The sequence below is a fragment of the Homo sapiens genome, chromosome 1 (genome assembly GCF_000001405.40).
Source record: "Homo sapiens chromosome 1, GRCh38.p14 Primary Assembly".
In the NCBI taxonomy this organism is placed as follows: Eukaryota; Metazoa; Chordata; class Mammalia; order Primates; family Hominidae; genus Homo; species Homo sapiens.
Window position 1 is genome coordinate 95,340,432 of NC_000001.11, and position 14,031 is coordinate 95,354,462.

The following is a 14,031-nucleotide window of genomic DNA, read 5'->3' on the forward strand; positions in this document are numbered from 1 at the left end:
GGTTTTTAAAAATATTGGAAACTTCCTCAGTTTTAAATGTGGGAAACCAATGTCTTTTAATTAAAAATCCCTACAGGCTGCTAGTTAACAATATTTAGACTATATATAATAGATATATGCATATATTTATAAACATATTTATAATCTGATTTTTTTTTTCACTTATTTTGTAAGTACTTTTTCCCAGTCAATTTCACATATATTTTCAGTTCCCTTAACTGTCAAATGAAGATAATATGATATTATTTCACAGGATTATTGTGAGGATTATATGAAATTGTGCATTCAAAACCCTGAGAGCAAAGTGAGGCCCCTTGTAAGTGATCCATGAATGGTAGTCCCTTTTCTCCTTTCTCTTGTTCAGTCTTCATGTTATGAAATCAGTAGCCCTAGCAGTGGCTAAAGAGAACATGTTCCCTGGAATACTTTGTCAGGTGTTAATAGATATTGGATAAGAGGGGTCCTACGGGCAATGGATTCGGAGAATGTGATATAAACAAATTTAAGCATGTATCTTTACAAAGGACTTCTTAAAGACTTTAATAAGCTCATCTGCTTTGTACATATTCAGAAAAGGATAGATATGCAATATTTCTCACAGTTAATTGACCTCAATGAGTGTCTCATGAAGTACAATTTGTAATGTGGATGCCTGAATCCCCTGGGGTCTTACTTTAAGGTCTCCTTAGAGGCAGTGGTCAGAGCCTGTGAGAAAAGCTCCAGTTAAATGGGCCTGTTTTGCCAAACTGCCCACCTTACTAGTCCACCCTGGGTTGGCATCAGTAGTTATATAGAGTAAGAAATTCAAGGCCCTCAAACAATTTTATTGATCCTGCATTGCTTTAGTAATAATGCCATAAACAAATGCACCCACTGAACAGCAGTTAGTTGATGCTGGCTAACAAAGCCACCCCTCTTGCTATCATTGATTTTATCTTTAGCTACCTATTTTCCCAGAAGAACTAAAGGAGGTGATTTTATTTCTGTTGATTCCATTCTTGAGATCGTTATGTTGATTATGCGTATTCTCTTCTTTTCATGTAGATGTTTGAAATTTCTCTAGGAAACATTTTCTCCTGCCTAAGATTGCACAGAGCATCATTTTTAACACGTAGTAAATGTTGCTGAGTAGAAAAATGTGTGCATTACAACGTATTTTTGCAAAGTAAGAGGTTTATATCTTTGTAATTATTTTCAATGTGTGTTTATTGATTTTTATAATACAGGGATATTAACTTGAAAGAGAACAAATTACATACAACAAATTAAGCACTTGCATGGATTAGAAAATCGAGGTAGTGCACTCAAGGCATGACTAATACGAGAGTGTTGCACGATAGAAGAACTGTGTGGTTTTACACCACATCTGGGAGGATTTCATCCAGCTACTTGTCTGAAAGGATCTTTAACTGAAATGCAGGTGCAAGATGGCATAAATTTATAGAATTAGAGAATTTTAGAACTGGAAGAGAACCTTAGATAAAGAAAGTGAGGATAAGAAAAATCAAGAATCATATTCAAGATTATAGAAAACTGGTGGCCTGGCCAGAGCTAGAACCTATGTTCCTGGACATTGGTCTTGTGTTGACATCCCAACTACATATAGTTTCTTCTTGAGTTTTTGTGACATCATTGATCAGCTTTGTAACCTTGGACAAATAACTCTTTCCTCATTCATAAAATAAGAACAGCACCCAAATGATTTGTATTAGTCCGTTTTCATACGCTATAAAGAGCTGCCCAAGAGTGGGTAATTTATAAAGGAAAGAGGTTTAACTGACTCACAGTTCAGCATGGCTGGGGAAGCCTCAGGAAATTTACAATCATGGCGGAAGGCAAAAGAGAAGCAAAGCCCCTTATTCACAAGGCAGCAGGAAGGAGAAGGAAAGCAGGAGGAACTACCAAACACGTATAAAACCACTCGTGAGAACTTACTCACTATCATGAGAACAACATGGGGGAAACCGTCTTTATGATTCAATTACCTCCACCTGGTCTCTCTCTTGACACGTGGGGATTATGGGGATTAAAATCCAAGATGACACTTTGAGTGGGGACACAGCAAAATCATATCATAAAGAGAAAATATGTATAGATGTAGCATTAGGTTTAGCACAAATTAATATACACTATCACTTTATTCATTTGGCATGTATTTATTGAATCTGTATGAAGTTTCAGGCCCTAATTTCTTTGAGAACAGATTTTTCCTTCCAGTGCAGATATTTACCATAAGCATTTAACATAATTTACATGACATATTTTTCAGTGTGTAGGGAAAATATTTTACATTTGACTACAATAATCGCAAAGAAGACATATTCAAAAATTCTCAAATTCTAAAATTCAAAGACTTGTTATATGATGTGAAACCCATTTGACTAAAGTTGCTATATAAACTACTTATTAATTTACTAACTTATAAATAACTTTTTAAAAAGGGAAATGACAAGTGATATTCTTATTCTCTAAAATAATGGATCAGAAGCACTTTTCTCCAGGAAGGTAAGAGTGCTGCTAGCCCAGTGGGGCCAAAGCTTTCAAGGGATGGAGCAGCTGAAAGGGTCCAAACATCTCTTGCCTGCCATGCGTCTCAGACCTTTTCTTTCAATTTGTCTCCTTCTCAGTTCAGTCTCCTAGTTTGATATGTACCTGAGGTTTGGGGCAAAATGATTTCAAAATGGATAATGAAAATTTTTCAGGATTCAGAACAACTCAGTTCATGGTGCTCATCCCCTGGTTCTGCTTCTTTCTAAGGACTGGAGTTGAAATTTGTAGAAATAAAAGACTAGGTGAATGGTGATCAGGTATCACTTGTTAACCAGTGCTGAGGGCACTCCCTCCCAAGATGACTTTGGATCTTCTAGTAGTTTCTTAGAACTTGACAGTGGGTTGGAAGGAGCAGGGTGTAGGAATCAATAGTGGATTGATTTGAATATCCTCTTCAGCAGGACCTGACGTGTCTCTTAAGGTTAATGTGACAGGTGAGCCCATGGCTTATCTTGGCTAGCTCTGGGCAAGAGGAGGTCTACAAGACAGTAAAATTTGTTGGAATTGTCATACAGTTTCAGATTGATAACTGGAAGTTTTCCACCAGATCACATCTATGCTTTAAGGGAACATGATCTCTAGATCTTTCTGGCGTGTTTGTTATACTTCTCCTTTTGATTGATTGCCTTTCGTGGTTCAAAATGCTACAGAAATATTAGTAGTTTGTTCTTATAACACACTTTTTAAAAAGTTGTTTTGAGCTAGTGTCAACTTTTCTAATAAGTTGAACAGGTTCATTCTTCAATTCATATTTGGAAGCTTGATATTACAGCGAAGTTTCCACTTTCATAAAGAATCAGTAATTACACATTAGTATTTGTTATCATCTAATCCTTGTATATATTTCCCTTCCCCTTATGAAATTTGAAAATATTTTCTAAATTTAATTATATTGCCTCAAATCTTAAATATTATGTGGGAAAATATGATGCTTCCTATAGAATAGTCCCCAACTTACAGATTATTTATTTCTTATGTTTATTTCAAAACTTGCTCGTTTGAAACTCAGAAAGCACTTATCCAAAGAAATACTATGAATATGGTTATATTTCTAAACAATTTTTTTCATCCATAATGTACCTGAAATATTTTACATTTATATTGTAAGGTAGACAGAAAAACAGTTGCTAAAATAGCAAACAAGAACAAAATTGTAAAAACAGACAAGGAAGTCAATATTTATTTATATTAAATGCTAGGTTTGGGGAAAACCAATTTTAATTATAGGAGAATTTTTGGAACTTTAGGAGAGCCCCTGAAGGGATTTTCAGAATCATGAAAAGTTTGTTGTGTGGGCTCTTCAATACATTGAGTTTTGATGTTCTATTCTTTCATACAAGTGTATTAGTAACATTGTATTTATATAACCTCAGCTACGGCCAGGGCAATTCTTTGGTTTCATATATAAATTTGGGAGAGTGAGTATAAGACAGGAATTAGTAGAAGAACTGCTGCAGAGCATTGAAGGCCATTTAGAGGATGACATCAGGAATTGGAAATGGGGCTGCTAAGGACTGACTTCTGTCCTCTCAAGGCTCATATGTTGAAGCTCTACCCACAGTGTGATGGTGTTTGGATATGGGGCCTTGGGGAAACAATTAGGTTTAGATAGGGTCACAAGGGTGGATTTCCCCATGATGGGATTAGTGCCCTTGTAAGAAAAGAAAGAGACACCAGAGCTTCCTCTCTGTGGCCATGAGGACACAGGTAGAAGGCAGTCATCTGCAAGGCAGAAAGATAGCCCTTGCCAGGAGCCCAGTCATGCTGGCACCTCAATCTTGGACTTCCAGCCTCTAGAACTGTGAGAAATACATGTCGGCTGTTTAAACTACCCAGTGTATGATATTTTGTTGTAGCAGTCAAGCTGATTAATACAGGGGCCAGATTATGGAATCCTGTGATCCTCTCCAGAGGTGAAATGCATGGTTTACAGCATGGTTCCAGGGTTGAGTTTTCAATTAATGGTAAAGGGGAAGGACAAATACTATGGAGTGGAAAGCAGGGGAAAGAAAATGCTTTGGATGATCAAATTTGGGGTCTTGGCAAGCAGGGAAGAGAAGAATCAGGAAGAATTCATCTTGCAAGGAAGTGGAGGTTTGAGGGAATTGGAGGCTAATTGTTGGACATTCATTTCTGGGAGAGTGCTATATTGATGTGGTTAAGACTTACTACGTAGCCTTGTGAACAAACTGGCTTTTCTGTGACATTCAGACATGGAATTTGAAGCTTTATGTTTTTTTTAAGTAAAATCCGTGGTTTTTAAATTTTTCTACTTTTTTACATTGAACATTTTGAAATATTTTTAATAATCCATATTAGTGTACAGTGTAATGTGTAGTTCTTTTGCTTAATGATACTTATAAGTTCTGATTTCTCTCTCTGAATAATTTTCATATTTGGTGCTTACATAAGGCTTCACAAAATCTTGTGCAATTGTCTAATAAACTAGTCTTATGTTTGTGTTAAGAGAAAAAAAATCAAAGACATGGAATATTTGTTATGGTCAAATGTGAATATGTTGGTTCTAGGACAAGACACTGCTGAAACATCACTCTAACACTCCCACCCTAGTTTTGAATGGGGGTGGGTGTGGATGGGTTTTCAGATTTTTTACTCAACATTTCACAGATGTTTCCAAATGTCTTTGTGCTACTGTAACATGCGAGTGCTTTTCTCCATTCATCTTCTGAGTTTCTTTTGGGGATCAAGTGAGATAATGCTCATGCAAGCTCCTTGTAAATAGTCACGTTCTATGCATGTGTTAATTCTTCTCTGCCTTGCTATTTAGATACAATGGCTATACTCAAACAAATACATCGAGGGCAACTTCCAGGACCAAAAGCTACAGCTCGGCACTTTTCCCTGCTACACTCCTGGGTTTACTTCTTAGTGAATGCTAAATGCTTGTGGCAGGATCCTGACCCCAAATCATTACAATGGATAGACTGTGCGCGCACAGCTTAAACTATACGTGCGCTTGCTGCAACATGATGGATATAACGGCTTGCTGAGAATTTGATTTATTTTCCAATAGTTTAGCATCCCTCTGCTTTTATCTGATATGACTATTTTACAAGCGTGTGTACCAAGCATGGCTTCAAAATTGCAGGTTATGAAATATAGAAAATGGAACAATTGCCGTGCATAGCAGAAATCTTCCTGTTCAGTCTGCATGCGTATATTTTAAAGTAAGATGGACTGCTGAATGGTGAGGAGCTTGCCTTGGGCTTCATTTTTTTCCCCTACAGGTGAAAGGAAATGCAAGACTTTCTTCTTCATTTTCAACTTCATATTGTTAGTTAGTTTTTCACAGGCTGGTCTGTGATGATGGGTTTTTGCCTTATCATTTGCTGGCATAATAAAAATGACATGATGATGCAGAAGAGAGCAGTTCCCCTTTAGGATGGAACAGAACAGCCAATACCAGTGATGGAAACATAGCAGGCTGATGGGGATGACTCCCCCTTTCTCATTTCACCTCAACCCAGTTCTCCATTTTCAATAATACACTTGTTTACTGAGAAATGGTCATCAGTACACTTGTTTACTGAGAAATGGTCATCAGATGCATAGGTTTGTGCATAGGAAGGACTGGCTAGTTGACAGTCTGCGTGGCTGAGGTACCAGCACAGCAACACTGTTCCTAGAAGGTCAGCTTGCCTCAGTGGAGGTTATATGTAATTTGGAGTTCTTACCTGAAATATTTCTCTTCCCCACACCATCATAATTGACTCTTGCCTGTGCCTAATTGGGACCTAACAAAAGAGCAAACTGAGGGCTGGTTCGCCTCTAATAACACTCCTACTCTGTTGGAGGTTTCCTTTAGTGCAGCTGTGTGGAAGGGATTGCCAGCCAGTATGGACCCTGATTGTCATCACTCCAAACAGACTTAAGCAGAAGCCAAGTGTGACAGACTTAGAACCTTGTGCTGGTGTAGCAGAGCAGGCATGTTAATGGGTAATGCAAGGAGGCTGAGGGATTAAATGTGCAGCTATTCTTTGGATATGTCAGGGATGTCTGTCATCTAGGACTTTCTCCCTGGACTAAGTACTCACCAATGCATTAAAATACTTGGTGAAAACTCAGATAACAACCCCACTTTCATGGGTAGACAACTCTATCAACTTACGTTTCTTATATGCCATGATGCTCTTGAGTTTCTCCAGTTTAGAGACACACTGCACTATGTATCTCTTTCTTTTGCTCCGCTGTATATCTTGGATAATTAATCATTTGATGATTTTCAGTAAGTTCATAATAAACAAATAATTTGGCAATTATTTCAGAGCAGCACGTAGTTTGTTTCTTTTCGACAAGTGTCCCTTCTGTGGCTTCCCATCTAGGATAAATGCCTAAAATTATTGAGCATTTCCTATGTTCCAGACCCTGTGCTAAGTGCTTTACATGGTATTCATAACCCTTCTAGGAAGTAGATGCAGTAATTACATCCATTTTATAGAAAAGAAACTAAAATATAGAGAGGTTAACTAATTTCCTTCCCTTCCTCCCATCCTTGTCATCTCTCCCTGCTTCTTCTCTTCCTCCCTCTCTCCTTTTTTTCTTTTTTCTTCCTTTTTCCCATTTCTCCTCCCTCCTTCCCTCCCTCCCTCCCTGCCTGCCTGCCCGCCTTCCTTCCTTCCTTCTTTCCTCCCTTCTTTCCTTCTTCGCGTCTTTCCTTCCCTCTTCTTTCCTTCTCTATTGAGCACCATTGCCCTTTTATTCAAGTAATAGTACTCCAGTATCATTTGGAATCCCTTCTCCATATCAGGTGCAGCCTTGGTTGAATAGTCAATCAAGGTGTCTAAGTGTCTTCCTCTCCACACCCCACATACTACCACCCCTGACAACCAGGTAGTGCCATGTGACCAAGTCTGGGCCAATCAGTTTCTTTTCTGGGGCACTAAACTCTTGAGCAGTAATATCTGGATGGAAAAGCTGCACCCTGCTAGAATATCAATTTTCTGCTGCAGCCTTGATCCCTGGAGAGGTCTTGCCCTTGTTATGTTCATTCATTCTTTAGCTATTCTTTCAATTCTGTGGGCCACACTGTAGCTTTTTTGATACCCCCTTTATGGTTAAGTTAACCAGTGTGGATTTCAGTAGTTTGTCCTCAAAGAATCCTATCAGATATAACTAATAACACTGACATTTGTCCCATATTGTGATACAGACCTTCCTGAATAACTTTGAGTAGTCCTATGATATAGCTTCCTTCTTTAACTGGCTGTAGTAGCTAGAATCTTCACCATAATAGCCAACTCTATTTTTTGTCATTTAGGGTTTGGACTTTCTTAGTAACAATTCAACAAGTATATGATTGCCTTCCTTGAAGGAAGGAACATTCTGATTCTTTTGTATCCAACACAGGAGGCCACTGGGATCATCCTCCAGGGAGTGTGAGATCTAGGGTCCTCTTTAAGGAGATATAGCATCTGAAGCAAATTGTTGCGTTTTTTTTCCTGCTTCTTCCAATTTTATACAGTTAGAAATCTGGCTTATCCCATTGATTCTTGATCCTTGCTCTGGTGTTGCTGCATGTAAAACTTTATTCTGACATGCCTGGTTTCAGATGTGTATTGTTTTATACTTGGGAATGTAAAATTCTGTTAGTTATCGGAATAGCTGAACTCACCAGCAGTCATCCATAAGAGGCTACTTACTTTAAAAGAATGTTAGATTTAGATGATTTTCAAGGACAAATTGGAAGGAAAAAGAAAAGAGCAACAAAAAAAGCCCTGACTTGGCAGCTTTGGGATGAACGAGGGTGAGCTGGAGAGTGGACTAGAGGGAGTGAAGAGGAGAAAAGGCAGTGGAATGGAGGTGGGGTTTGGGGCTGGGTGTGCAATTTTGCTCCTCAACAAAAGATGCCATTCTTTTCTATCACAGCTGGTAGTGTACACTGTTTCCTTCCTCTCTTTAGCAATCTGGTTCTGCAGAGCCTCTGAAACACCGAGCATGGAACACTGGACGAATTCTAGGGTCAACTGGAAATGAGCCAGTGCCTGTTGGCTGGCCAGTTGTCCACCTTCATTTATGTCTTTGTTTGCCCAGTACTTGTTCACTCATTTTCTGGTAACAAAAACTCGATTACATTTGGGAACATTTCTCTGTGATTTGCAGCTGATGTGATTCAGTCTACAACCTCACTGTCAGCTCCTGAATGAGCGCAAGTCTAGCCATTTCACCTCTTCAAGCTGTGGCAATGACACACAATCCTAAGATTCTCTTTGGAACTTCTGGGAAGAGGCTGTCTTTCCAGTAGGCTTTATGAGATGATGAAAATGGATGTGGAGCTCTTGGCAGCCTTCTCACTGTGCAGTGGTGAGATGGAATTGGAGAGAGATAGCTTTCTGACAGCAGTGTTGGAACACCTGAATCCAGTCTTGCCAGTCTAGAGCTACCTTAGGCTTTTCACTATCATGAACCAATATATTTCCTTTTTGCCTTAAGTAGTTTGGTTTCTAACAGATCAACTCCTCATGACTTCTGATTAGCTCTGGGATGCTTGCAGTCCACAGAAGAGAGGGCCAGTAGATTTTGGAGACAGAAACTTTTTCAGCTTCCAAAGTGCTTTGTGTATTTTTCATTATGCAGCTTCTTTAAAGAAGTGGTATAATGACTTTCCTGTCAACTTGAAATAAAATAGAAAAGATCTATGCAGGTGATCAAGGTGAGGGGCCTTGCAGTAATGCCACCATGGTGTGGGAGATACATCATGGCTTGGATTATTATAGCAGAGAAATAACTAGATTGTCAACAGCATTGTGTGAAAAGAAAAGCGTTCTTTTCTCCTCCTTCCACTTGCTTGTTTTTATGTGCAAATTTTAATTGGGGAAACGTGAATGATCAAAAACAGATTTCCCTCCAGAGAAGAGGCATCACGGCTTATATAAGATCTGGTACTTTTATCTGAGTGGCCTAAGAATAACTGAGCTAGCCTAGCAAGAGGAAGGATGTGTCCACCTTCTCAGTTTCCACTAACAACATCCTCTGTCTTTGCTTGATGAAGAGTCTTTTAGATCATGACTAAAGCCTGGACAAGCTTCTCTGGAACCAATGACAGTTAGTCCTTCAGAGTGAGTACTCCAGCACATGGTGGGATTTGATTTATCTTAACAAATCAACTTGTCACAAGCCTAAATTCTTTGTTGGTTGGTCAGAGTGACAAGCCATAGAACACTTGTTTGTAGCCACTTGATTTCCACTGGACTCACAGCATCAAAGAAGCAAAGAAACATTTGTCCTGATTGAAGGTTGAGTCACATAGAGAGGGGTCTAAGGACTGAATGGAAATGAAGATATAAACATGAAAATTAAAATGTCAATAAGGCTAGTATTTGATGCCTGGAGCACATGCACTGACTGCGAGCAGAATGGAAGATATTGAGGATGTTATTGGGGAGAGAAGAAGACAATGGAGAAGGTGGAAAAGCTCCAGGGAAATAAGACTTGCTTTCAGGACTCCTCTGGTGCTGACAGTTGATTGGCTACAGTCAGTCTACAGCCTTGGTGATAATTTAAATTGATTGCATTTGTAGCTTTCATAGGGGAAAGGGAAACAGGAGAGTAAACGATCTTTTGGAGTTGTCTTAGGAAACCGAATTATATATTTAAAATGGAGTGGGGTTTGGATTTGAGACTAAGGCCAAAAGAAGCAAGCAGAGTAGTTCATGCACCATAATTTCCCTTCACTTATGAACTCCTCTACACTTCTGCTTAACTTTGCCTGTTTTTTATTCAGACCTATGTGTATATATTTGCATGCACATAGGTCTGAATAAAAAACAGGCAAAGTTTTTGGGTAAGCTATGATGTGGCGTTTCAGAATTACTGGATTTTGGGGTCCTTTTAAGTTTCTGTAGGTTCTTGCTGCCTGAATTGAGGTGGAGAAGTATAGTTCTGAAGTCGCAGAACTACATTTATTTCTGCAAAGGTGGACTCCAGAACCTAGTGTGAAATGGAAGTATTGAATATGCCATAAAATAAAATAAAATAAAATAAAATAAAATAAAATAAAATAAAATAAAATAATGTTTCCATTTTCTAGTGGCAGATATGGAGATTGAGTTGTGGGGAACCTAGAACCATGAGGATCTTAGAGAAGAGGGAAGAGATTGTGGGAAGCACTGTCTGTGGGGCACCCACTTGCATTCACCGCTTCATAGAAATAGGTCATATACAAATTGGAATGGATTTTGAGGTTGGAACGAACTGAGTCTTAACACTGATTCCCCCTAATTGTTAGACACATAATGACTGACATAGGACATATTCTTGGAGTCTCAGTTTCTTTATCTGTAAGACAAGGATAATAATGCCTTTTTTCCAGGAGTGTTGTGAAGATTAAATGAAATGATGTGTTTGTAACTTGAGTGTCATGCCCTCTTGCACACCTACTGTAATGTGCCTCCTGGAGTTGTGCAATGAGGCATCCTGGTCTCCACATCCTCCAATTTTCTGGGACTTATCTCAAGTTGAAGGCAAACATAAAATGACTTCAGTCGCTAGGATTCTCTGTGGGTGGGTCTGGTGGGTGCTCACATTCGCCTGGTTCTCTTGTTTTCGACTCTGGGTTCTGCTGGGACCTTGTTTGCCATCTTGTTTTCTGTAGCTCCTGTTACAGATCTAGCTCCATTCTCCTTCATTCCCTAAAGACAATAGGAAAGTTGTTGTACACAGCAGATTTTACTGAGGGTTTTGATGATGGAGGAGAGTGCCATTATCCTAGTCTGAAATGCTTGGTGGCAAGAGTCTTGCCTGCCAAAGCGAGGACAGGTATCATATATATCATGACAGCACTACACCAGCTGCAGCATGGAATAGAAAATACGTTTAAAATAAAATGTTAGTTTTTACTGTTCCTAAACTTCTTGCCCATTCTGGCGCCAGGAAATTCTCATTACTCTCCTGCTCTTTCAACTCTGGCTGCCCTCCATCTCTTGGGACCTGCCCCCATAGTCCCTGTCACCTTCTCTTAGATCCTTCTATTTCCGGGTTCCCTGAACCCCAACCCCCACATCTGCCACTGGAAAATAAAAACATTCTCTTACTTGATTACATAGCATACTCAATATTCCCATTTCACACTAGGTTCTGGAGTCCATCTTTGCAGAAATGAAAAATTCACCTAGATATCTAAATATGAATCCTGTCCCTCTACAATGTGAGAGTGCTATAGTCATTTTTTTAAAAAATAATTCCTCTTCTCATTATAGCTGCAAAATACTAAGCCCATAATAGATGCTCAGCAAATAGGAGTGAATGATAGAATCAAAACAGTAATGTTAACAATAAAAATAAGAAGGATATGAAGTTTATCTGTAGTCTATAAGTATAGCATGTGGTTCCCATCTTCATACTGGTGAAACGTCACTGGATTCTGGCGTTGGTAGAAGAGGAGTTCATTCAACAGCTACTGTCCCAGTTGCCTCAGTAAAAAAAAAAGTTTTCAAATAGGCCATTCACATGGCTTGGGTTTGTGCCTTTGTATGAGTTATCCATGGCACGGATGATATTCAGCGAATTATCCCACATATGGCACAAAAGGCTAGAAATAAGGAAAATTCTGCAAGTATTCTGGACCACAGATCCAGAAGGCCAAACAGACTTAGAACTGGTCTGAACATGTTCTGAGCATGATTTGAGCTTGGGACACTGAGGTGGACTCTATCCCTTCCTTCGGTCTTTGGTTAAATGCACCTTCTCAGCAGTGCCTTTCCTAGCTACCCTTTGTGACCTTATAATCCCCTTCCTCCTACATTCCAGCTTCCTCTTCTTTATTGTTCTCTAAAGCACTTATTACCATTGGACAGACTACATATTTTACTTTTGCTGCTGTTTGTTTTCTCTGTTCTTCTGTTAGAATATAAGTGTCACATGCGGTGTGGTTTTATTCTGTCATTTACTGCTGTGTCCCAGAGCCTGGCACAGAGCCAGGTACTTTGTGGGTTCAGTAAATATTTGTCAGCTGTTTATTGAGTGACTGACCTACTGAGGAACTGGATTATGATAACAATGTTCTATTCTCTTTCGTGGTGCTTTATTTTTTACAAAGAGCTTTCATGTATGTTATTTTCCATAACTCTCACCCACTTAGGAAGTAGATAGCAAAGGTAAGCTCAGAATGGTAATGTGAACTCTCTGGGTCATTTAGTGAACTTGGGGGCTGGAACCCTTTTCTTTTGACTCCAAATCCAGTGTCCTCTCCACTGCATACACCAAGCAAACATGTATTGTTTGCGTAAAACATAACAAATACTTTGGGATACAAAGAGTGATGGAAGTGTTCTGGGCTAAGTGTCACAAGCATCTCTGTTGTGCCATTATCCTAGTCTGAAATGCTTGGTGGCAAGAGTCTTGCCTGCCAAAGCGAGGACAGGTATCATATATATCATGACAGCACTACACCAGCTGCAGTCTGCAATGCCAAGGCTCTGTGCCAAATTGAACAAAACCAGATCAGACTCACTTGTAAGCTCTCCGTGGGCAAGTCTTTACCAGCCTAATAGCATTGGTGGTAGTTGTAGGGGATGAGGGGGTGGGGGTAGAGGGTACAGAAAAGTACAAATGCCTGAGAGTGGATGGGCTTGGGGGCTTATGTTCACAATAATAAAAACCCACATTTGTCAAGAGGTTTACAGTCACCTCATTCCTTTAACATTTGCCATCATATTTGATATTTAAATTTTTTAAAGCAACTCTCTTGGTTAAAATGAGCAGGCATGGATTTGTCTGCTTTATATACAAGGAAGCTGACGCCTAGACAAATTGTGCAATGAATCCAATGTTAGAGTATTAGTAAGGGACAGAATTACATTTTCATCTTAGGATTTTTGAAGCCAAATATTGATGCTTTTTTCTTTTTGTTATTAGCAGTGTTGGAGAAGTTTAGCATGAATAAGAATCAGGTGGAGAGTTAAAATACCCCCAGAGATTCTGGGCAGGGTGCAGTGGCTCACACCTGTAATCCCAGCACTTTGGGAGGCCGAAGTGGGTGGATCACCTGAGGTTGGGAGTTTGAGACCAGCGTGACCAACATGGAGAAACCCCGTCTCTACTAAAAATACAAAAATTAGCCAGGCATGGTGGCGCATGCCTGTAATCTGAGCCACTTGGGAGGCTGAGGCAGGAGAATCGCTTGAACCTGGGAGGTGGAGGTTGCGGTGAGCAGAGATTGTGCCATTGCACTCCAGCCTGGGCAACAAGAGTGAAACTCTGTCTCAAAACAAACAAACAAACAAACAAACAAACAACCCAGAGATTCTGATTCTGTAGGCCTGGGGTGACACACAAGAATCTTCATTTCTAACAGATTCTCAGGTGAGACCAATGCTGCTGTTCTGACAACTACACTTTGAGTAGAATTCACATAGAGAGGAGAGCAAACTTTGCAATTGGGTATCTCTCTAGCCAGTCCCCTGCATTCCTCATATACGGGGATGCTGTTTTTTGAGCATTCCATGCATACTCCTACCTCAGGGC

General features: G+C 39.6%; 1 long non-coding RNA gene across 1 annotated transcript; it reads right to left on the bottom strand.

Moving 5' to 3' along the window:
- Window positions 1-10,819: 10,819 nt before the first annotated feature.
- LINC01650 (long intergenic non-protein coding RNA 1650) lies at window positions 10,820-11,676 on the bottom strand. Its single transcript, NR_146486.1, has 2 exons — window positions 11,601-11,676; window positions 10,820-11,198 (listed from the first exon to the last, which is right to left on the bottom strand). It is a non-coding gene; the product is annotated as a long intergenic non-protein coding RNA 1650 (long non-coding RNA).
- Between the last annotated feature and the right edge of the window lie 2,355 nt (window positions 11,677-14,031).